The sequence below is a fragment of the Homo sapiens genome, chromosome 2 (assembly GCF_000001405.40).
Source record: "Homo sapiens chromosome 2, GRCh38.p14 Primary Assembly".
Lineage (NCBI taxonomy): Eukaryota > Metazoa > Chordata > Mammalia > Primates > Hominidae > Homo > Homo sapiens.
This window is the reverse complement of record NC_000002.12, coordinates 94,861,338-94,884,552: the sequence shown is the minus strand read 5'-3', so window position 1 is coordinate 94,884,552 and position 23,215 is coordinate 94,861,338. Positions and strand designations below refer to the sequence as shown.

Below are 23,215 nucleotides of genomic sequence, written 5' to 3'. Positions count from 1 at the left end.
TAAATAAATGTAAAAGTATCCCATGATCATGGACCGAAGGCTTAACATTTAAGATGGCAGTCCTCCGTAAACTCATCTACAGATTTAACTTCATCCCTGTCAGAATCCCAGATGAGTTCTTTGTAAAATCGACAAGCTGACTCTCAAATTCATATGGAATTGTAAGGGACTGAGAATAGCCAAAATAATCTTTTGAAAATGAGGAACAGTGTAGGAGAACTCATACTTACTGACTTTATAACTTACTACAAGACAATGGTAATAAGGACAATATAATACTGGCAGAAGGGTAGATGTATAGACCAGTGGGATAGAATTGACAGTCAGATATGAACCCATACATATATAACCAACTGATTTTTGACAGGGGTGCCAAGATTATTCAGTGGGGAAAGAAGTTTGAAAACTGGCCCAGGGACAACTAGATATGTAAACATATGCAAAACCTGGAGTAGGACCTTTACCCAACACCATGTACAAAAACGATGCAAAAAAAAAAATGGATCAAATGGATCCATTTTGAGTGAATCCACATAAATGTAAGGACTAAAACTATAAAATCCTGAGAAGCAAACAGGAGTAAGTTGTCATGACCTTGGATTTGGCAAAGTTTTCTTAAATATGAGACCAGCAACAAGAATAAAAATTGATGAATTGGACTTCATCAAAATTAAACATTTTTGCACTTCAAAGGACACCATCAAGAAACTGAAAAGACAACCCACAAGATGGAAGAAAATACTTGCAAATCATGTATAGCACTTTTTGATGGTAAACTTGAGGAAGACTTTTTTTTTTATTTTTTATTTTTATTATACTTTAAGTTCTAGGGTACATGGGCACAATGTGCAGGTTTGTTACATATGTATACATGTGCCATGTTGGTGTGCTGCACTCATTAACTCATCATTTACATTAGGAATATTTCCTAATGCTATCCCTCCCCCCTCCCCCCACCCCATGACAGGCCCCGGTGTGTGATGTTCCCCTTCCTGTGTCCACGTGTTCTCATTGTTCAGTTCCCACCTATGAGTGAGAACATGGTGGTGTTTGGTTTTCTGTCCTTGCGATAGTTTGCTCAGAATGATGGTTTCCAGCTTCATCCATGTCCCTACAAAGGACATGAACTCATCCTTTTTTATGGCTGCATAGTATTCCATGGTGTATATGTGCCACATTTTCTGAATCCAGTCTATCATTGATGGACATTTGGGTTGGTTCCAAGTCTTTGCTATTGTGAATAGAGCTGCAATAAACATACGTGTGCATGTGTCTTTATAGCAACATGATTTATAATCCTTTGGGTATATACCCAGTAATGGGATGGCTGGGTCAAATATTTCTAGTTCTAGATCCTTGAGGTATTGCCACGCTGGAGGAAGACATTTATTTTTTATCTCTTACCAACACAGCAGTAACATCCTAAAATCTCTCTTCCTGTCTCTTTTTGCCATTCTTTAAATCTTTTCTCACTTAATTTTCAGATTTAATATTTAATACATGGCAACACTCCCTGTAGTCCCAGCTATGGGGGGGAGACTGAGGCAAGAGGATGGCTTGAGCCCAGGAGATGGAGGTTAGATTAGAAAGCAGGGATAATGAGATCAATCAAAGCGGTCCTCAGGACACTAGTCACAGTGTTTGTACTAATACTGGAACTGGTTTATTTTCAGGCATTTCTAGTGTGATCAGATGGCAAAGAACAAGTATATATATGTGTGTGTGTGTATATGTGTGTGTGTGTGTGTGTGTGTGTGTGTGTGTATGTCAGTTTCCAGGACTGCTGGGCAAGCCTGGGAAAGACAGTACCTGGGGAAAGCAGCCTCCTGCTCCCCTGTGCCTTCTTTGAGCTTGATGATCATTTGATGTGGTACTATATAATCACATCCAGGTTACCCTCTGAAATTCCTTGATGGTTCTTTTCTATATCCTTGACACTGTCCTTTTACAGACCAAGTGATCTTATCTGGAATATTACAACAGTTTTCTTTTCTCAGTGCTTTTAGAATAACCTGTCAAAAACTCATCTGACTATAGTAGTACCTGCTTACAACCTTTTACTTAGTCCCCATTTCCTACCGGGCTGTGTAGCTCACTTGAGCTCTGCTAGGTGGTGAGGGAATCTGGGTCCTCTTTCTGGTATTTGAATTCAGTGCTACACAGGTTACTGGCTGGGTTGACAATCTCAAATTGTAAATCATGAGTATTCTATGTAGATAGTCTGTCACGATTTACAATAGAACATTGACATTTATGTAAAAGATCATGGTGATGTGAGGTTGCGTACTGTCTGTGAGAATTAATTGAGGAAATTTAAATTATATGGTTTTATTCACATATAGTGCATAACAACTAGTTAAGGGATAGATGTCTTCTTATCTGACTTTCAAGTATCTAAGAGTGGATCATTGTGCTTGTTAAAGTTCTGGGAACCATGGCTATTTTCTGAAAATACCTCAGTGATGACAAATAAATGACTACCAGCCTCTCGTAACATTAGGACTCCAGTTCATCCCTTTGCTTCATAAGTGTGTCTTTTCCTTTTGTATGTATTTGCATTAGTATAGAAAATAGGTTTTCTTGATTAGAAATCTAAGAAGAATAAATTGAAAACTGGAGATTTTTCTATTGCTTTGGATTACTAAAAGTTAGTGTAATTTGGCAGTATATCCTTGTGCCATTATTGTCTCTCTGGTAAGTAGATGGTAGGGCTTTGGGTGATTAAAATTTTTTCCTATTTTGCTTATTTAATGGGCATGTGTTTGTATTAAAAAGGGGAAAATAAATAGGAAGGTAGAAGATGTTAACTAATCGTGAAAGTTATTGGGAAGGGTTACCTAATTTAAAAGTTGGCCAGCCATGGCAACACTGCCTGTAGTCCCAGCTGTGGGGGGAGGCTGAGGCAAGAGGATGGCTTGAGCCCAGGGGATGGAGGTTACAGTGAGCTGTGATTGTGCCACTGCACTTCAGCCTGAGGGACAGAGCCGGACCCTGTCTCAGAAAAACCTAGAACAACAACAAACAGAGAGAGGAGCCTGGACGTATTGAGCTACGTTAGTGTTCGCGGGCTGCTGTAGTGATGGCTTACAACATCAGAAATTTATTCTCTTACAGTTCTGGAGGCCACAAGTCCAAAATCAAGGTGTGGGCAGAAATGCGCTCCCTCTGCAGACTCTTGGGGAGGATCCTTGCTTCTTCCAGGTCTGCGACTGTGGTTCCTGCAGCCACTGGAACCAGCTCTGCACAGCTCAGACCTGAGTGATGAGGACACAGCTTCGCAGGTGGGCAGCCACATCCCCAGGGGGAGCCTGTGGGCCTGTGGCAGGGTTGGGGCAGGCAGGGCACGGGCTCCCCATAGTCCCCATTGTTGCCCCTGAGCTCCTGGGGCTTGTGGAGAAAGACGGGTGGAGGCGCACATAAATGCAGCTCCCTGGATCTGAGCCTTGGTTTCCCTACCTGTGAAATGGGCACCCATGGCAGCTCAGAAGTGTCTGGGAGCATCCCCTGTTGGGGAAGGTAGTGGGGGAGGCTGCTGGGGCACAGTCATGGGGGACCCCAGTCCCCCTCTCCATGTGCTTCCCTCAATGCTCCCTGATGCCAGCAGACCTGTCCCTGAAAAGAGAGGGGCATTCCTGTGAGTTCCTTGTGTGGAGGATGGGTCACAGAGACTCTCCAAATGCAGGGCAGGGTGGAGGGAGGCTGAGGGGTGGTTGAATGGCCAGGAGAAGAGCTCTCTCCAGTCCCTCGGGTCTGGGTGGCCTGGGGAGCATCCGTTTGGGCAGGCAGCTGGCGGGGCTGGTGGCTGAGCCACTGAGGCTCGGGGACCCCAGGCCAGGCCAGAGTAGGGTGGGCAGGGAGAGCAGAGGGTGAGTGTACGGGGCGGGACAGCGTGTCTCCTGGACAGAAACAGCCCTGGTCACTCATGGCTGCAGTGTAGCCATGACGACAGGAAAGTGCTGCTGTACATTGTGCCCCTGGGGCTGGCTCCCAATGGACACCCAACAGCACCTCCCCCACTGTACTGTGGGATGCTGGCAGGGGTGCTGGGCACTGGGGGAAGAGCCTTGGAAAGCCCTTCCCTCCCTGGGCATCAGACCTTGGGCTCCTGGATGCCTGGGCTTATGTGGCCTATTTTTCCAGTGGAAGATGTTTGGGGTGCTCCCACAAAATGGGGAGGGCCCTGGGGAGGTCAGGATTGTATTATTAAACCCAGAAAGTCTGGGGATCCATTTTTAGCACAAGGCAGGCAGCCCATGAGCCTCAGTCCAGCGGCCAGCCTGTGTGGAAGGGGAGTGGGGCCTGAAGGAGCGAGGCTCCTGTTACCGCAGGCTCCACTGCGCCCCCCAGGGTGGCCGGTGTGGGCTGGACAGCGGGCACTGCACCAGGGGCACTGGTGCTGACCTTGAGCCATGCATGTGATGCTTGTGAGAGTGATCTCTAGGAACCACTGCACAAGGGGGCAGATGAGGGAACCCCGACGTGGGACAGCCGAGGGTGACCCCAACACGGAGGGGGGCAGCTGTGTCCAGGCTCCACTGGATTCCGCAGAGGACAGAACACAGCTCTGACTCTAGGGTGTGGGTCACTGAGGGTCAGGACAGGCTGGGGTTGGGAGAGGGCCATGCTGCAGCTGGGGCACATCCCACCTGCACCCCGCAGATGTCAGGGCCTGGACCTCTCCATTCCCACCCTGACCCGGTCAGTAACAGCCACGGGCCAGCAGCCCCCAGCAACCCCTCCCTCCCTGAACTGTCGGGGACAGGAGGTACCACAGTCTTTTCCAGGCAAGAGCTGCTGGAGCCTCCTTTATCCTTGTGCTAGAAGCCCAGGGTGGCTGGGCTGTGGGCCCAGTGTGGGGAGAGGGGCCTGAGAACAGCCCAGTGTGGGCCATCCACCTTCCTGCCCACTTTGGAGGTCTGAATCACCCCCGGCCACTCTCCCAATCCCCAGGAGCCCAGAGGCTTCCTGGCTGGAGCAAGCCACACCTGCTCTCCACCATGGGTAGCAGCTCAAGGCCAGGCCGATAGGGACTCCACAGAGGGGCCTGTGGGTTAGCAGCAGCTGCCACTGTCCAGATGGCCTCAGGGGTTGGGGTTGGACAATCTGGAAGTCAGTAGGGAATTCAGCATGAGGAGACGGCCCTCAGAGTTCTGGCCCAGCAGCCCCAGGTGCTGGCTCTGCACTGAGTCATGAAGCTTACAGGCCAGGGGCGTTGGCCTCTCTCTAGCTGGGAGTGACGTACATCACTGCTGTCATTAGCCTCCCCTGCATCAACCTGTTACTGGGGTGGGAGCACAGTGGGCGCAGGGACCCTCAGGCCTCAGTTTTCCCTGCTGTAAAATGCATGTGATAGTGAGGCTGTCATGAGGCCTGAAGGAGTTAAAACCTGCCATGTGCTCAGGATGGCACCTAGCTCGGTGCCTCCTAGCCTGGTGCCACCATCTGGCATCAGAGATGAAACACTTCTCCCAGGCCCCCTCCCCTGGCACCCCCCACACTCAGCTCTCCATCAGCCACCCCCTCCAGGGTGGGACAAGGAGGTCCTGAGCCTGATGAGGACCCGACAGGGCTGGGCAGTGCCACCTGGGCCTGGGCGATAATGGGAGCCTGAGTGTGGGGCCTGCATGGAGGGAGCCATTGTTTCTTGGGCCTCTTAATGGCTACTTCCCTAGAGTCCGGGAAAAGCGCTGCTGCTCAAGAGGGGACAGTGCCAGCAGCTCCCTCTGAGGCTGGGGTGGGCACAGCATGGGGGGGCCTCGCCCCCACCCACCTCCCATGGAGGTTCCTGGCTCTCCTGGGGGACTCCTCGCTACTGTGCTGAGGCTGGCACCGGGGCTGACCAGGCCCAGGATGGTGTTGGACCACCTGCATCCCCCTGCAGCAGGCAGGGAGGGCTCTGCAGCCACCACCCACACACACCTGACCCCTCCCTGGCCATCGTGTCTAGGGTGGCAGGGAGTGAAGCCCCCACCCAACAACCTCCCCCCAGCTCAGGGGCCTTTGAGTTCACCACCATCTGCTTCACTACAGGTTTTCCCTGTGCTGGGGGTGATTGCAGGGAGATGGTTCTTTGGTGTTCCCTGGGCAGGTCATTGCCTCAGCTCCTGCCTGGTGTCCTGGAGCAGCTTTGAGGAGCTACATGGACAGGACACGAACTGTCTGCAGCCCCCAGGTGAGGCTTGGCTGCTGTGTCCCACTGCCTCTGCTCCTGGCTGTCAAAGCCCCATGGTAACAGCATCCAGGGCGAATTTAAATGGCACCCCAAAGAATAAGAGTGGGCTTGGGTGTTACTGTAGTGACTGGTGGTTTGCGACAAGTAGTAGTGCGGCTTCCGTGGTGACAGGAAGTGACATTTCCCCCTGAATCTGCACTGGAGAGAAGGTCCTGGAAGCTTTTGGGCCCACCCTCCAGGGTCTGGGTCTGCATCTCCGAGAGTGGCCAGGTGGGTAGAAGAATCCTCCCTGCCTGATAGTCGGGTTTGGAGCTGGGGAGGGACGGGCCTGGTTAGCAATGAGCCTATTGCAGTGAACCAGAGCGAGATAAAGCGAGAGACCCAGCCCAGACACCTCCTTCCCTGGTCCCAGCCCCTGTGCCTTGGCCTGTGCGGTGGAAGCCAGGCTCCCTCCTCCAGGAAGCCCTCCCTGCACTGCCTGCTCACACACAGCCTCTTCCAGATTTCTCCCCATCCAGGCTGAGTAAGATTCCCAAGAGGGCTCCTCCCCGAGGCAACTGCCTGCAGTCAACATTATCACCTCCCCCAGTGAACAGCAGTAGTGTTTTTCATGTTCAGCAGTGGCCTCTGGAGGGGTCCTAGCAGGTCGGGGAGAGAGGTCTGAGTTAGCCCCACGTGAAAGGCAGCCCATGCCTCTCCTCCCAGCAACCCCCAGCAGCAACTTCCACCTGGCTGACCCCACCCAGCTCACAGAGCTGCCCAGCTGGGTGTCCTTGTGGTTGATTGGGGGAAGGGGCTGTTACCTCCTGGTCCCCTCCAGGCTGAGACAAGAGCCCTGTGGGCCTGGATGTTGGAGATGGGACCCCCACCCACATGCTCTCCAGGTGGATGCCCACTCTGGGCTGTTCTCAGGCCCCTCTCCCCACACTGGGCCTACACCCAGGAGGGAACTCCATGTACCCCTGCCGATCTGCCCATCTGAGCCTCAGGGGTCGTGGGCACTGAGAGCTGGGCTGGGCTGAGCTCAGGTACACACTGTCATTGGGGACAGAGAGGGGATGCTGAAGCGGGCGCTTCTGGGTGGGGCCTGCCTGGAGGATCACCCCAGCAGGTGCACCTAGCAGCCAGACAAGCTTCTAGCAGAGTAAGCGCCCTGTCCACAGGAGTATGTGAGCTGAGGCTGGGGGCCTGGAGGTGCAGGGGGAGGAGTTGGGGAGATGCAGAGGTCCCAAAGATGTCCCATGGTCCTAAGACCCTGGTGAAGGAATGGAGGAGCCAGCACTGGTGGGGAAGTGGGGAGGGAGGAGCTGGATGGCCTGGCTCTGAGCTGGACACACCGTCTGCGCCCACACCTGAGCTGTGCTGTGGAGCCCCAGTCCCCACCTGGGCACTTCCTGTCCTCTCAGGCACAGGGATTCCTGGTTCTGGCTCTGACCCCTCATCTCCAACTGTTAGGATGATGAGTCCATAGGCAGAGCCAGCCTCACAGGGGACCCAAAGGCCAGTTCAGATGGACAGCAACTCGAGGTCCCACCGTGCACACACACACACTGTGCAGAAAGCTAACGCGCTGTTTATTTGGGGGACTGGGGGGAAGCACCGTGCCGCTGCTCACTGGTAGCCAGCCAGCTGCAGGATGGTGGGGTAGCGAGTACGATGGGCCATGCACTTCTGGCGGTCGATGAAGAGACTGTTGGTCATGGCGGCAATGTCCTTCTCCAGGCTCATGTGGATGTCCTCGAGGTTGCGCAGGGACTGCTCCGCTTCTAGAAGCTTCTCTCGCAGTGCTGTGAGGGACATGTTCAGCTCCTCCACCTCACTCAACAGCCTGGGGGTGTTGGGGGGGTGTGAGCCGGGGCTAGGGAGGGCAGAAGTATGCACCTACCGGGGTGTAGGGGACCCAAAACTCCCAATGGGAGCTGGCAGGAGGTCCTGGGAAGACTCCATGAAAGAACCCCATCAGGAAAGCAGCTCTAGGGCAGAGCATAAATTACGAGGGTCCTCCCAGGGAGCGTGGGCCTGAGTGGGAATGAGTGACCCGTGTGCAATCTCGACCCTGGCAGGACAGGACTGGCCTCAGCCGACCAGGCTCAGTTCTTTCCATTCCTGATACTTGATGGAAGGAGGCCCCCAGTTCCTTGAAGGAACTGAGGGGCAGGGAAAGAAGAAAGGTACTTAGAAGGGGCCACCGGGCATCCGTTATCAAGGGAAACAAAAGGACGGCACATCTATGCCTGTAGCGCAGGCGTAGGTCATACTTCCCACCAGAGGTGTGGACAGCACGCTCAGGGCAGCAGGGAATGGCCCTGCCTGGCCTCTCTGGCTCTGTGGCCTCCTGGAGCTCACCTTGTCTGAAGGAGCTTCCTCCCGGGAAGATGAGGTAGCATAGGGTGGGGTGAGACCACGTGGGCACAGGTCCCTGGCACTGGGAGCCCCCCGACCCATGACCTGCCCAGTGTCATGTGTATGTCTGTGTGTTTAAGGCATGCCTGCTTGTTGTGTGTGGCCCCAAAGTCTCCCTCCCCTCTCAGCACCTGCGGGGGATGTGTGTGCGGGGTGTTGGAGTGTTTATTGGAGAGAGTCACAGGGAGGAGGTGGACAGGGCCACCTGGGACTGCCTCAGAGGCCCAGGCAGCACCTGAACTGGGCTGCGTCACGGCACAGCTCCATGTTGGGCCGGTGCGAGCGCAGGTACAGCCGGGTCTGGGCTACGTGCAGAGGTGCCTCTTTGTCCTTGATGGCCTGCTTCAGTGCCGCCACGTTGTGTTCCTGATCTGTGATTTCCCGCAGTGTCTGCAGACAGGACAGTTCTCCTTGGGCCTGTGCCCCCATGCCCGGGTATATAGAACGCCGAGACCAGGCTGGTCCTACCCAGGTCTTGGGGCTGTGTCCAGAGGGCAGTCCTGACCAGTGGCCCTGGGGAGGCGTGGATGAGGGGAACAATGTGCACGGGGCCCCCAGTGGGCTCTGGAGAGTCAGGAAGCCTGTTGTCCCTTAGCTGTGGTCCAAGAACCCCCATCCTTGGTGGTCACCAGGACCTGAATCCTGCTCAAGGACTGGGGACTCAGAGGTGGTAAAGGCCACGCTGAGACCCTAGATTCAGAGCCCTGCCTGCCAGGCCAGGACTCTTGGGGACCTCCCGGGCGGTCAGTGTTCCCCAGACCACCTCCTGCCTCCATCCTCCCCACAGCTCCTCCTGCTGAGTCATAGGGGTGGCAACACCGGTCGATCATACCCAGTGTCACCTGGTTTTACATAGGTTTACGGAGAGGAGACACTTGCTTCTGGGGTCCCTCGGGATAAATGGGACAGAGGAGAAAGGTGTTGAGGGCCCAGGCCAGGTGATGAGAGGGGGCCGTCTTCGGGGTTCAGGGTGCCCCACCTTGTGCAGGTGGTGATGCAGCTTGTACCGCGCGTCCTCCAGCTCCTCACAGCGGCGCCCGAAGGCCAGGTTCACGGCGTCGCACTGGAGCCGCAGGTCCTCGGAGGTGTCGCGAAGGATGCAGTCCACCAGCACCCGCAGGTTGGCCGAGGCCAGGCGCTCGCGCTGGGCACGGCACAGATTGTCCTGCGTGAACTTGGCCCGGGTCTCCGGGGTGGAGGCGCTGCGGGGCGGGGGACAGCCAGGAGAGGGTCGGGGAGGCTCTGCCGAAGGCTGGGAGCCCTGCTGCGCCCCCATGCCCTGTCCGCGCCCCATGCTCCTGGAGGACGTGCATGGACTCCGATGCACCCCATGCTGCCCCACAAAGCCCAGTCCCTCAGGCTCCCTGCCCCCGAGTGCCCCCTGGCCACAACTTCTCTGAGTCCCCCCACACCCTACCCACCCCGGGCACTTAGTCCCCTCGTGCCCCCGCGACCCCGTTCCCAGCACCGCTGCCCCGGAGGCCCCCTCTGCAGCACCTCCGGCCCCCGCAGCCCCCCTTCCCTAGTACCCAGCGCCCGCGCCCTCTTTTTGCTCCCAGGAGTTTGCCGCCCTCTAGTGGGCGGTGGTCAGGCTCCCTCTGCTGGCCTTGGGCGGAAACGCAATCCTGCCAGCGCCTGGGTCTGACCCCACCCTACTCTGTCCTGTCTGCCGGCAGCCAGGCTGTGCACGCGCTGGACATTTGAGGAGGTCTTGGTCGCTTGCTCATGCCAGGGGCAGACAGTTGCCCAAGTGCCCTCGGGGGCGAGGGCCTCCGGGCCAGGCTGGTGAAAGCAGCGCCGCTGGGGCCCCCAGGCAGAGGGAGGCGAGACCACAGCCAGGGCAAGTGCAGGGGCAGAGCTGGGGCCCACCTCTCTTGGAAGGTGGTGGAGTACGGATGAGCCTGCACCTCGGTGCTCTGGCTGTGGTGGCGCCCGCAGGTCTCGTCGATGTTGTAGGCCTCCATCTTGTCTGACCAGTCCATCTCGCAGGTCTCCTTGTGCTCCCGGTTCAGTCTGGGGCGGGGTGGGGCAGGGCCTTGATGTGTGCCCAGGGAGGGCCCTGCTGGGGACCCTCTGTGCTGCAGGCTGGGCCCCAATGCCTGCCTCAGGAGGGAGTTCTGGGTGGGCCTGTCCCGGGCAGCCCTCGTGCTCAGCAGTGACCAGGAGCTGCGGCCCAGGCTGGGAGGCTGCAGATCAGATGTGGCACTGGGCTCTGGCCACTCAACCTCAGGCTGCGCCGGAACCTCCCCCACCCAGTCCTGCGCTCCACTGTGACCTGGGGCAGCCCCTGCTGGCTCTGAGTCTCAGGGTCCTGTCGTTCAATGCCTTGCCCCAGGACCAGCTGTGGGTAGGGTCAGGAATCATCCCTTGGGCAGCCCTCTACCCACCGGATCTGGCTCACTGCTTGCATGATGGTTCTCTTCAGCAGCTCCTGAATGTTCCGGATGAGCTCGGCTTCCTGAGGGAGGAGACGCCCTGAGCACCAGAGCCAGTCCCTGGTGAGGATCCCAGGAGGCCCAGCTGCTGCAGGCCTTGGTCAACACCTGAGCAACCACAAGGAGTTGAATGCCGGGCCTGAGCTCTGACTGTGTAAGTTCTGCTCTCTCACTGGGTTTATCTTGGGCTTTTGGGCATTCTCCTTGGTGCGTTGTAAGTGGGGTGTTTTCCTCCAGGGCCTTCTGTGGGCTGCTGGGAAGGTCCCTCAGCGGCAGTTCCCACGCCCCAGGCTTCAGGAGTCATCGCTGCTGCTCACTCAGTGCACCTGGGAACGTTGGCCTGCCCTTGGCCTCTGGACAGCCCCTGAGGACCCAAACTCTGGGGGCCCAGATGCCCGCCCAGGCTGCCCCTCAGGGCTCTGTGCTGGGAAAGGCCATCTTCACACCAAGAACAGGAGAAGGACCCTGTGTTTCTTCTTATTGCCTGGCCAGTTTAATTTGCTGTGTGTAGGAACAAGCCTTTTCTCTGTGATTGGGGTCTTTGCCTCAACCACTGGGTACTTCCTTGTGTGCCAGGGCCCGGGTCCTGCGCCCCTCTATCCCTGGGTTTGCCTCTCCGTGCACTGTCAGTGTCTCCATCAGTTGGCAGGTGCCCTTGTTGCGGGCAGAGAGTTTGCGGGAGCTGCAGGAGTTCTTGAGGCACTGAGAGAGTGCAGGGGGAAGGGCCTGCAGAAGGGTAAAGAAGGGAGGAGGGAAGGCATGAGGGGAGGGAGGGACTCAAGGGTTCTTGCCTGAGCTTGGGGTATGGCAGGAGACCAGCTGCCCCCACCCCACATCTTTCACGAATGTCTACAGGCCTGTAGTGGTTCTCAGGGAGGCCCCAGGCTCTGAGAGGTCAGAGAATTCTCCAGAGCCAGCATCTGGGCCAGGACTGAGTTACTCTCTCACCCTGTGGGGCTGCCCCACAGACAAGCTGGGGTGGATTGGGAAGTTATAGGGGACATGGAGGAGAGGGGACCTGTGGGTGCAGATCTTTGTGTCCCCGGCTCTGTATAGGATGAATGGGAGCAGTGGCTCCCAGCCCACCCCACCTTACCTGTCCACACCTGCAGTGCTGGCCCAGACCTGGGTTTCCACCTTGGGAGCAACTGTCCCAGCGAGGGAGGGTCTCTGGGGAGGTGCCTTGTGGCTTAGCCCAGGGAGCCCAGGGTCAGGATGACTGTGCCAGGACTCAAAGGGATTAGAGGAGGAGAGGAGAAACAGCTGCTTGGAAGTCAGGGGTCTTCTGGGGCAAAGCTGCCTCCTGTCACTAAGGGGCCAGATTTCGGGACTCAGGGGTCTCACGTGCAGAGGGCTGGGCTCCCGCGTGCTTGCAGCAGCCACGTGGCTTGTCCACATGAACTGCGGGGGGGGGGGCTCCTCCTCTCTGCGCCCACAAATCCCGGCCACCCAAGGGTGCTGGCACCTTCAGCAGCTCCGTTTCCACATGGTCGCGCACGAGGTTGGGGTGCTCGCGGCGCTCACGGCACTGCAGGTTGTCAGTGGTGATGGAGAAGGGCACCTCTGTGGCGTCCAGGGCGCGCTCCAGCCGTTGCTTCTGGGCCAGGAGCAAGTTGGTCTCCGCAGCCAGCGCCTCCATCTCACGCTGCAGCTCCGACTTCCAGCTGTGCGTGTCCTGCAGTCGCTCGCCCACTGTGCGCGTGGAGTCTTGCTGCGTGCGCTGCGCCAGCGCCTGGGTCTCTGTGGCCAGCTGCTGGCTCTCGTGCCGCTGCCGCTCCGACTGGTCGCGGTCGGCGAAGGCCTGGTGGTAGCGAGCATAGCAGTTCTGGAACCACTCCTCCAGCAGGTACTTGGAGGTGCGGAAGCTGGCGGTGGCCAGGCCGGAGGACGTGTAGGCGCCCGTGTTACGGGCCACGTCGTACTCTTTGCAGGGCAGCTCGCAGGGCGGCACTGTCTGCGCCATGGTGCCTGCCGCCCACCAGGGCCAGGGGAGTGAGGACTGTGTGTGGTCAGCCGGTTGCGGTCAGCCTAGTGCGGTCAGCGGGGCAGCTCCAACGGCTCAGTCCCAGAGCAGGACGCGGCTCCCAGTCGCTTGGGTGACACTGTGTAAACCAAGAGCTTCCTGTTGCCAAGAAACGGGATCTCTTCTCCAGTAGCTAGGGGAGGGGCATTCAGGGTGGTGGGCAGAACTGCCCTCTTAAAGGGCCAGGCAGCCCCAGCCCCACCATCCCTGTCCCCGCCTCGGGGCAATCAACAGTGGCCAAGGGTTCCTGTCACTTAGAGGATCCTGGGGCCAGCCCGTCTCCAGCCTCTGAGTCCCACCCTTAGGGTTCAGGGTGTGGGTGGGGACCTACTGCCCTGGCCCCTTCCTTGGTTCATCCATTTGTTCCTGGTTTGCGCTCTGATCCTGTCCTGTGCGGAGCTCCGCGCTCAGGGTGAACAAGACAGGAGACTCTGCTCAGTTGCAGCCACCTCAGGGCAGAGGGCTGTGGCTGTCGTGTGGGTGTTGGGTGTGCTGACTGATAGTGTTACTTGATGCCGTACAGGTGGCTGCTCTCCCTGCCCTCCTGGCCCCAACAGCAGCCTGGTAGCACAGGGAGGGTTCCAGGCCAGGTCCCCTCGGGGGCAGTCTGAGGCAGTTCCTGCAGGAACTCTGCTCCATTTTCTCCTGCACCTAGTGCCTGAGAGCCAGGCCCTGGCCTCTGGCCTTCTCCTCCCAAGTCCAAGCCAGGGTCCCCTCAGGCTGGGCACAGCGGGGAGGGAGTCTGAGTGTGCTCTTCGCTGGGGAGTTGAATTCAGCCTCTGGGTAAGTGTCCAGAGTCAGACGCCCAAATCTGCCCCACAGGGCGGAGGCAGGTCCTGTGCTGCGGAGGCTGCCCTCAAAGCCATTCAGGGCCAGGCTGCCTGGCGGAGGCTGGATGGGCAGGAAGCGCCCCAGGACACATCGGAGTCCCCCTAACCTGGGGCCAGGGGAGCCCCAGCCTAGGCGCGATTCCCCACACGGCCAGCGGAGGGCGACGTTGGTCTGGCACTGAGAAGCCTGCGGCTCCTGGCTCGGCCTCCCCTCCGTCTGCCTGGCGCATGCAGTCCTGGGGACCCCCAGCCCCTCCGGCCTCCTCTTCTCTGAGAGCCCCCCACCAGAAAGTCCTCACTAGGAAGTCCATACCCTTCCTACAGCACAGACCTCTGGGCCCCTGTTCTCTCCACCTTCACCCCCTCTCCCACCACAGCCCACACCCTCACTCCAGCCACAGGAGCCGGAGCTCCTCCTGGGCCATTCCCACCACCCCGCCCAGGGTCTCTCCAGCCCCACCATGTGCCGGCCAGTGCCCTCCTCCTGGACCTGACCTCCCCCCGTCCTGGCCTCTCCCGCGGCCAGAACCCTCAGTCCATGCTGCTGTCACCACGGTGCGCCTGGCCTGACACAGCCTCCTGATGGGGCTTTTGAGGACAGCAGCCCGGAGACTTACCCTAACCCAGGCCGAGTCAGAACCTGTGGCAGGCGGCCTGGGAACCTCTTCTTACTGTCCATCAAAATTGGGAGGTCAGGGGACCTTCAGGGACTGGTGTGGTCTGAGAAACATCCTCGAGCCTCGCCATGACTCAGTTTCCCCAGATGGCAGCAGGCTGGAGCCCACACGCAGGGCAGGATGCCAGGCTCCACCTTTTGTCTGGAACCTGCATTCACTGGGCACCTCTCTTTAGGCAGAGCAGAGCAGAGCTGCCCGTGTTTGTCCCCTGATCTGTGGCCCCAGGAGCCCGAGAGACCACCTGAGCCAACGAGAAGGCCTCTGGGCCAGAGCCCAGCTCTGCGAAGTGGGAGACTTCTCAGCCTCCACTTCCAGGTGCCCTGAAGTCGTTGGCAGGGGGTGCTGCCTGCTTGGGGCTCCCAGACTAAGGGAACACATTCATGTGGTGACCACGATAGGCCCTGCAGGCTGAGGCACAGGATTTGACCAAGGACGCATCAGAGATAGGAGACTGGGCCCTCACTCCTGCCAGCTGCAAACTCCCAAAGCCCCCAGCCCTCTCATGGGGTGAAGATGCCCTGAAGGACACTCCAGTGTGCTCCCACCTCTGGGTTCTGCCAGCCAGAGAGTGGGACCCTCAGGCCACATGTGTCTTGCTGGATCTCAGCTTTAGGGACCCATCGTGCTGGCAGCTCCCTGAGACCTGGGTCAGGGGGTGTCCATTAGAGCACCTTGGTCAGGACCCAGAGATGGGGAGGGCAGTTGGCATCTCCAGAAAGCAGGAGGTGGGGCATGGCTCTGTGACAGACGTCCCTGTGACAGGGAGGATTGGAGGGACAGAGGGGCGTGCTCAGGGGCGGAGGGGCAGATGAGGCCACCAAAGGGCACCTTGAACACTGGATGGCCCCAGGAAGGCCCTTGAACCCCATCCTGATTGATCCAGGGCCTGTGACCTTGGCCCAGACTGCAGGCCTGGGGACTTGAGTTCCTTTAGTTTCTTAAGAAACTACTATACTCCTTTTTGGCATAGCTGTACGATTTTACATTCCCACCAGTAATGTGTGAAAGCTCTAGTTTTTACTCATGCTCCTCAGCGTTTGATGTTTTATTTTTATTTTAGCTATTCTGATATATATGTGTTAGTCATTGTGGTCTTAATTTGCAAATTTCTAATGACTAATGATATTTAACACCTTTTCTTGTTCATAATTAAATACCATCTGTATTCCTTTTCGCATATCATCAACACAACCGTGAAAAATCAGAACAAAATTTTTCAGACGACTTCAAAATTTTTAGAACAATACTCAAGGGAAAAGGTGTTTATTTAGAACAATGAAAACAATGAGACATTAACTTCCAGGTTAAATAAAGTTGATTGTGTGCATAAAAATGGTGAAAATATTAGACTTCCTTGGCAAAAGAAGAAAGGGGAAGACTTTATATTTTCTGAAATAATATTCATCATTTGTCTTTGGTTTATTATGTGTATGATTTGGAAAAAATGCATCAAAGATACAACCTTCTGGTGTTTGCTTTGATATTATCCTTGCAAACAGAAAAGTTGGCACGTTTCTGTATAAAACTGGACAAAGTTGGCCTAGGAATGATGTTACATTGTACTTTCACTTTACATCATACTGTAAGAGTTTAATAATAGCTAAGGCAGGCGTGTTGATGTGGACTTACTGTCCCTATTTAAGAGGTGGTGTGAGGTTTAGGAGAGTTATGTACCCTTTATCATAAAACAAATCTATGAAGCATTTATATAAAAACCCAGTATTTCTGGTTTCAAATTCAGTACTGTGCCGTCTGCTTGATAGATTTGTTTGCAGGTTAGAGACATTTTATTGCATAACTTCCATGAAGTATCACAGTTGTACTCTTGACTATGTTTAAATCACAACAAGACTTTAATCTGCACTCAGTTCTTTTAACTAAAATCTTCAGTTTGAATATTAATTTCACTTAAAGAACATCCCTAGAAATTTCAGAGAGAGTTTACTTGCGGAATACAATTTGCATTTGCTTTGACAACTATTAGTTCACATATGTAAAATAAGTCTACCTGTCTGTATGCATAATTAAGATGTAACAGTAGTGTGGTAATGACTTGTTAATTAAAGCAATTAGAATGGCAGTGGATCATGGCACAATTTACCTTAAAAGCCATGAGCAGACTACATCACAAGCTATGATACAATTAATAGTCATTAGGTTTAAAGTAGTTTCTGCATATAAAACCACAAAGCATATTTTAGCCCTTTAAACAAAAGCTTCATTCAGTCAATACTGGTCTTCTTGTAGATGCATTTATGAAACAAAACCACAAAACATATAGCTTACCCGCTTCTCAAAACATGTTGCACAGTAGGTTGAGGGACTTCTCTACACCAGGACCTATTCTTAAAACCAATAAGTCCTCAGTGAAAATTATGTATTTGCCTGGAGTCTCATCTGATGTGTCTGTTGTAGGCAGCTGTGGCAGTGGTGGGTGGTTTAGTGAGATGGACCCTGTCCACGTCTGTCCGTCCATCAGTGGGCTAGTGTGTCTCTGGCTGCACCTGAGAAGGGTCTATAGGAGTTAACGGCATTAGCATGGGATTCAAAATAAATCATCTTGGATTCAAAGTTCCATTTCAGTATCCATTTCCAGCTAAGTTTGTGTAGCATGATTAATGTTTCTGAGGCTCAATTTTAGTAATGGTAAAGTTATATCTTCCTAAAAGACAGGGACACATCCCAGTTTTGTGTTTTTTAATTTTTATTTTGTTTTATTTTTCTTGAGATGGAGTTTTGCTCTTGTTGCCCAGGCTGGAGTGCAATGGTACAATCTTGGCTCACCACAACCTCCGCCCCCTCGGTTCAAGGGATTCTCCTGCTTCAGCATCCTGAGTAGCTGGGATTACAGATGCCCGCCACCACGCCCAGCTAATTTTTTGTATTTTTAGTAGAGATGGGGTTTCACCATGTTGGTCAGGCTGGTCTTGAACTCCTTACCTCAGATGATCCACCTGCCTCAGCCTTCCAAAGTGCTGGGATTACAGGTGTGAGCCACCATGCCTGGCCTTATTCTCAAAAAAGAATTTATCAAAATTGTATGTATATGTGTGTGTGAGTGTTTTAAGTAGAGTAACACTTTATTAAAATGCCACTATATATGTTCTAACAAAAAACCTCAAATTAACAAATGCATGTGGGGAGAGGGAGAGAGGGAGGGAGAGAGGAGGAGGGAGGCAGAGAGAGAGAGAGATATCTCTGGTGTCTCTTCCTTTTTGGATGACGACCCCAGTCCTAACAGATTAGGGCCTTAACCTTTTGCCCCTATTTAACCTTTACCTTCTTAAAAGCTCCTTCTCCAAATACAGTCACACTGGGAGATAGGGCTTCAGGTTAGGAATTCTGGGGGGACATAATTCTCTCCAGAACAGTCACTAATATCATGAGTGCTCAGATTGCTAGTGAATATGTTCTTGTTACAATTATTTTTGCTTTGCAGTTTTAGATAATGAATACTTGGATAATAAATACCCACTGTATTCTAATTTTTTTCAACACTTCTTACTTGCATGGATTCTAAACAGAAGTCCAATGTAATTCTTACGTCTGTTTCTCTGTAGACAATATGTTTCTTCCTCTGCCTTATTTTAATATTTTATCTTTGTTATAGGTTTTCTACAGTTTGAATATGATATTCCTAGTTATATTTCAAAAATATTCATCCTGCTTGGTGTTCTCTGAGCTTTTTGGATTTGTAATTTGGTTTCTGTCATTAATTTGTGTTTTTTTCCTAGTTAAAAAAATGAACTTTATAGATTTTACATTCTCAACTTTCACTTACTTTCAAAATGAGAGACAAGACACCTAAACTCCAAGATTTCAGTCCTGAATGCAATAGTACCAGATTTTCAAGTTACATAAGTGAGCTGCATAAACACTACTAGTTTCAAGTGTACCCTGTAAGAAACACATGGACATACTTGCGTTGTTTAACCACACAGTGTCATATCAATAAACCCCAAAGTATCTGACATATATTTGTCCATTAAAGGTAAACACAATTCTGAGTATCAAATTAAATTGATCATTTGCCTTTTATAAGCTAAATCAGAAACTGAAAAACTGGAAGAATGTAGAGGTAAGTAGCTGAAAATGCTCCACTTACTGCACACAAGCACATCATGACAAAGAATGCTAGAAGTAGCTTTCCTCAGAAGTAATAATTGAACATTTAAAATATTATTTTATCAGAAAAGTTAAAGCTTTTAGTGTAAAAAGCATGGTAAATGACATTTTAACTTAATAGTTAACTATATAGCAAATTACAGATTTCGAGCAATTAGTTACCCACATTTCACCAGAACCTTCAGTGAAAGTGTCTGCTCTCAACATTGACCAGAACCTTCTTGTTCTGAAGTGTCTACTCTTTAGAGTTGTTTTAGCTTTACATATCTGTAAAAACCTAAGATTCCTCAATGAGAAGTTACAGCTTATTCTGTACTAGATACACATAATATATATAGATTTAGAACAAATGGATGCTTTTCAACTTCAAAAAAAGTATTTTAATTTACACAATATTAGATTTTTTTTCACCCATGTGTATGCATAACAGTGTTTCCCAAATGCGCAGGGTCCACTTCCATAATTCTAAAGCAAAAATAGAGGCACACAAATGGATAATAGTTCATAGTTTTATGCCTTTTTTAAACCTATCTTTAAAGAAATTCAGTTGCCATTTAGATAAAGATGTGATGAACTCGTAACAAATTTCTATGACTTGGAAAACTAAAGGTCTGAAAATCCTGAATGTTGTAGCTTTGGGCAGTTTGCAATTTGTGCATGGGTTCACTCACCCTGTGGTCCGTGAACTCCCTTATCCTGCAAGCTGTAGGTACTTTCAGCAAATATGAGACTCAAAAGACTAAGGAAGGGCTTGTTTAAATTAGTTTCCCTAACAGTTGATTCTAATCTTGCAATGAACAGATTTAACATACTAGTGAGTTAAATTTTAAAGTAATTATAAAGCCATTTACTCTATCATGAATGAAATGTAAGAACCACACTTAAAACAAGTCTTTCATCTTAATGAATGGTATCTTTCATTTATATACAAAGGAATTCACTTGCCAGCAGCATTTAAGTATAGAAATAGTCTCGTCTTGAGTGCCTTTTATAAAGCAGTGCCATTTCTAACTAGGTGTATTTGTTACCCAGCTTTTCAGTAACTATAGGTATCTAATAGATTCAAGAAAAGATTGGAAAATTGAGAAGATTTAGCATTTTAAACATTTGAAAAATGTTGCTACAAAGCATAGATTATGAATGCATTAGTAAAATTCACACCTTATGTGAGAATCATTAAGTTGGTTTAATAATTATATCACAGAAGTATGGGCTCACTAATATTTATGCTAATTAAACCAGAAAGTTTCTGTAGGTAATTCAGCTCTAAGCACCATTTAGTAGGGTTATGCCAAGTAGAACCAATGGTTATATAATACCCAGAATATAACCCTCAGCAAATTCAAACTTTTAGAATGGCAACACAAGTGAGAATTAGAATGAGAGGCAATAGTTCATTTAAAAGTACCATAGGCTGCTAAGAGTGTTCTTTTCTTTTAAAAATTTGTGTGGTTGTTAATAATGTACCCTAACACTGGTCCTCCTTGACAGCGGTGTTAGAGATGGTTAGGTGGAACCTATATTACGGAAGTCAGTGTTGCCCATTTCTTTAGCTCAGTGATTAAAATTGAAATTGCTTTGACAAAACAATTGAACTGCTGCTGTTTACAATACAAATAGAACACCAACAGGATTCCTGTTGTATTCACATTATTCTCTAATTAGTATTTTTGCATTTCGACTCTGACCTAACCTTCAGTAGTTCCTTTATTTTTATTTTCAAACATTTTTGTGAGTATATAATAGGCATATATATTTATGGGGTGCATGAGATGTTTCGATACAGGCATGCAGTGTGAACTAATCACATCATGGAGGGTGGGGTATCCATCCCTTCAAGCATGTATCCTTTGTGTTACAATCCAATTACATTCTTTTAGTTATTTTTAAATGAACAATTATTGACTAGAGTCCCCCTGTTGTGTTATTAAATAGTATGTCTTATTCATTCCTTCTGCCTATTTTTGTACCCATTACCCATCCCCTGCCTTCCCCCCCCCCAGCTCCCTAGTACTTACTATGTCCATGAGTTCAATTGTTTTGATTTTTAGATCCCACAAACAAGTGAGAACATGCAATGTCTGCCTTTCCGTGCTTGGCTTATTTCCCTTAACATAATTATCTCCAGTTCCTTCCATGTTGTTGCAAATGACTGAATCTCATTCTTTTTTAGGGCTGAATAATACTCCACTGTGTGTATCTACCAGATTTTCTTTAATACATTAAGTTATTGATGGACACTTAGGTTGCTTCCAAATCTTAGCTATTGTTAACAGTGGTGCAACCAACATGGGAGTGCAGATAATTACTTCGATATACTCATTTCCTATTTTTGGGGTATATACCCAACAGTGGGATTGCTGGATCATGTGATACCTCTATTTTCAGTGTTTAGAGGAACCTCCAAACTGTTCTCAACCATGGCTGTACCAGTAGTACATTAAAATGCAAATGCAATTGGTAAAAGAACAAGGCAGCATGTAGTACTTGCACTTAAAAATACTACCAGTTTCGTAACAATTTGCATTTTTTTTTGTCCTTGGAAGAGTAACCACTTAATAAAACAGATACATAAAAGTGCAATATTCTTTCCTTTGCATGGCATCCAGGAATGGTGAAAGCAAAGAAACAGTCATCCCTTCTCTTCCCCCTACTTCTGGTCTCCCGAAATAGGGACGCCAGGTCAGACAGGTGGAGGAGGGAAATGGGGCACAGGTCAAGGTATTATGAATCTCTTAAAAAGAAATCCGGCCGGGCGCGGTGGCTCACGCGTGTAATCCCAGCACTTTGGGAGGCCGAGATGGGCGGATCATGAGGTCAGGAATCGAGACCATCCTGGTGAACACGGTGAAACCCTGTCTCTACTAAAAATACAAAAAAATTAGCCCGGTGTGGTGGCGGGCGCCTATAGTACCAGCTACTCAGAGGCTGGGGCATGAGAATGGCATGAACCCGAGGGGCAGAGCTTGCAGCGAGTGGAGATGGCGCCACTGCACTCCAGCCTGGGCGACAGAGCGAGACTCCATCCCCCCCACCCACAAAAAAAAAACGCTTTGCCCAGAATGCTAGCCTGATGGGAACTCCACCCCATCCATTCCAACCTAGTAAGGATAATTTAGTTTGTCTTTTCTGGTCTCACTTCCTTACTGACATCTAGTGTTCTTTTTTTGTTATTAAATTTCAGAAGACAAACCTTAGCATTTTCTAAAAGAAATTATTTTTACCTAAATACATTGGGCTTTGGTCTTAATTTGAAGGAATAGAATAAGTGGCCTTTAAGAGAGCGTTCCTACTCCTCCTCTTCCAGTGGCTGCTCTGGGTCCCTGAAAGAGGGTGTGATGTGAACCACCTGGGTTGTGAAGTGGATTTTGTTGAGCCTGTGTTTTTTAAGTCCATTAGTCCTGCCCGAGGCTCTGTGCCCTGGAATCCTTGGCTTCGCGTCTGGACCACCTTCAGCCAAGAAGTGATGGTGAAGAGGGTCCCCCCATCTTCCAGGACGTGTGAGAGTTTGTAGGTGATGAGATGGAGGGGGCACCTTTTAAATCTTAACAGTACCCACCCTCGCTGCTGGCGGTGTTCTCCCCGTCGTCCTCGTCCAGGACTCCCACCAGGGTCTCGATCTCCTCTCTGATGCTCTGACTCACATACTGGGAGGCCCTTTTCCCAATGTAGTCCCTGATGTCCACATTGGCGTCCTAGGTCCCCACTAGCAGCTTCACCATCTCCAAGGTACATGGCTGCCAAGTGCAGGGCGGTGTAGCCTTGCTAGTCCTGGCTTTGCTGTTCCCGGGCAGCGGAGGCTCCTTGGGGAAGTTGACCAGCATGGCCAGAAGCTCTGGCCTGCGGTGCTAGGCGCCTGTGCAGGCAAGTGAGGAGGTGATGAAGCCCAGCGTGGCCAGCAGGCCGGCTGGCACGAGGGCAACCCCCTAAGCTGTCCACTCCCCATCGGAGGCCAAGAGCAGCCAGCCGTGCTGCTGGGTCCAGCTCACCCAGCCCCGCAGCTCTCCTCCTCCGCAGACGGGAAAGCCAGCGCTGCGCCGCCAGAGTCACTCGCCTGTGCCGTGTCCTCCTCGGAGGAGCTCCCAGGCTGCTGCCTCTAGGACACAGGCTCCTCTTCAGGGGCGGGGCGCTGCCCCTTGCCAAGTCGCTCAAGTTCTGGCAGAATGGCCTCGGGGCGGTAGCCCCCCAGGAACTGCCCCTGTCCGCCTCCTGGCAGCCGTGGGGCGGGGGCTCCAGGTCCTCGCTGGCCGCGAGGTCCCGCGTCTGGGGTAGGGGCGGGTGGAGCCAGCGACCTCTTCCTGCGTCCCCGCCGCTCAGGGCGGCCCGTGCAGGGGCTGAGATCCCCCTCGCCCAGCTCGGCCCTGCCTGTGGAGCGCCTCGGGTACCGCTGTTTCAGGGAGGGGATGGTGAATGCTGCGCTCCGCGTTCACGTGGACTTCGCACAGGTCCCAGGGGCGCGGCCTCAGGCGGAGGCCCGGCCAGAACCTCTTCCTGAGACGCAGGTACTCGGCGCCACCGGCGGGGTTGGTGCAGTGGCCACAGCGTCCACC

General features: G+C 52.2%; 1 protein-coding gene, 1 long non-coding RNA gene and 1 pseudogene across 5 annotated transcripts in view, besides 3 other annotated features; 1 reads left to right on the top strand and 2 right to left on the bottom strand.

Moving 5' to 3' along the window:
• The window catches only part of LOC442028 (uncharacterized), a 78,658-nt gene extending 62,790 nt beyond the window's left edge, over positions 1-15,868 (top strand). Inside the window, exons 8-10 of the long non-coding RNA NR_037597.1 lie at positions 3,115-3,281; positions 11,001-11,164; positions 13,856-15,868. This is a non-coding gene — a long non-coding RNA (uncharacterized LOC442028). The remainder of the gene's footprint in view (positions 1-3,114; positions 3,282-11,000; positions 11,165-13,855) is intronic.
• Positions 7,730-13,123, bottom strand: TEKT4 (tektin 4). Of its 4 annotated transcripts, none has more exons than NM_001286559.2 (6): positions 12,476-13,123; positions 10,963-11,736; positions 10,445-10,588; positions 9,555-9,777; positions 8,811-8,965; positions 7,730-8,000 (listed from the first exon to the last, which is right to left on the bottom strand). In NM_001286559.2, the coding sequence occupies exons 2-6, from the start codon at positions 10,983-10,985 to the stop codon at positions 7,784-7,786; spliced, it is 762 nt and encodes a 253-aa protein (NP_001273488.1). In that variant the 5' UTR covers positions 10,986-11,736; positions 12,476-13,123; the 3' UTR covers positions 7,730-7,783. The 4 variants fall into 4 exon arrangements, with proteins under 4 accessions (NP_001273488.1, XP_011508972.1, NP_653306.1 ...); XM_011510670.3 differs by having other exon boundaries at positions 8,811-9,088; positions 10,963-11,033; NM_144705.4 differs by having other exon boundaries at positions 10,963-11,033.
• Positions 10,024-10,885: an enhancer, noted in NCBI's record as "H3K27ac-H3K4me1 hESC enhancer chr2:95539413-95540274 (GRCh37/hg19 assembly coordinates)". NCBI's record gives its function as "activates a minimal SCP1, AML or CMV promoter by ChIP-STARR-seq in naive H9 embryonic stem cells {active_cell/tissue: H9 hESC(naive)}" and the evidence as "EXISTENCE:reporter gene assay evidence [ECO:0000049][PMID:30033119]".
• Positions 12,786-13,299: an enhancer, noted in NCBI's record as "H3K27ac-H3K4me1 hESC enhancer chr2:95536999-95537512 (GRCh37/hg19 assembly coordinates)". NCBI's record gives its function as "activates a minimal SCP1, AML or CMV promoter by ChIP-STARR-seq in primed H9 embryonic stem cells {active_cell/tissue: H9 hESC(primed)}" and the evidence as "EXISTENCE:reporter gene assay evidence [ECO:0000049][PMID:30033119]".
• Positions 13,813-14,326: an enhancer, noted in NCBI's record as "H3K4me1 hESC enhancer chr2:95535972-95536485 (GRCh37/hg19 assembly coordinates)". NCBI's record gives its function as "activates a minimal SCP1, AML or CMV promoter by ChIP-STARR-seq in naive H9 embryonic stem cells {active_cell/tissue: H9 hESC(naive)}" and the evidence as "EXISTENCE:reporter gene assay evidence [ECO:0000049][PMID:30033119]".
• SOWAHCP5 (SOWAHC pseudogene 5) lies at positions 21,705-23,215 on the bottom strand (annotated as a pseudogene).

Bases quoted from the DNA above. Each gene is read 5' to 3' on its own strand.
- TEKT4 (XM_011510670.3), bottom strand. From the start codon at position 12,973: ATGGCGCAGACAGTGCCGCCCTGCGAGCTGCCCTGCAAAGAGTACGAC. The intron at 9,089-9,554 runs GTGGGGCACCCT...ACGCCTCCCCAG, and splicing joins TGCATCACCACCTGCACAAG to GGCCACTGGTCAGGACTGCC. The intron at 8,001-8,810 runs GTGCTGCCTGGG...CAACACCCCCAG, and splicing joins CGTGACGCAGCCCAGTTCAG to GCTGTTGAGTGAGGTGGAGG.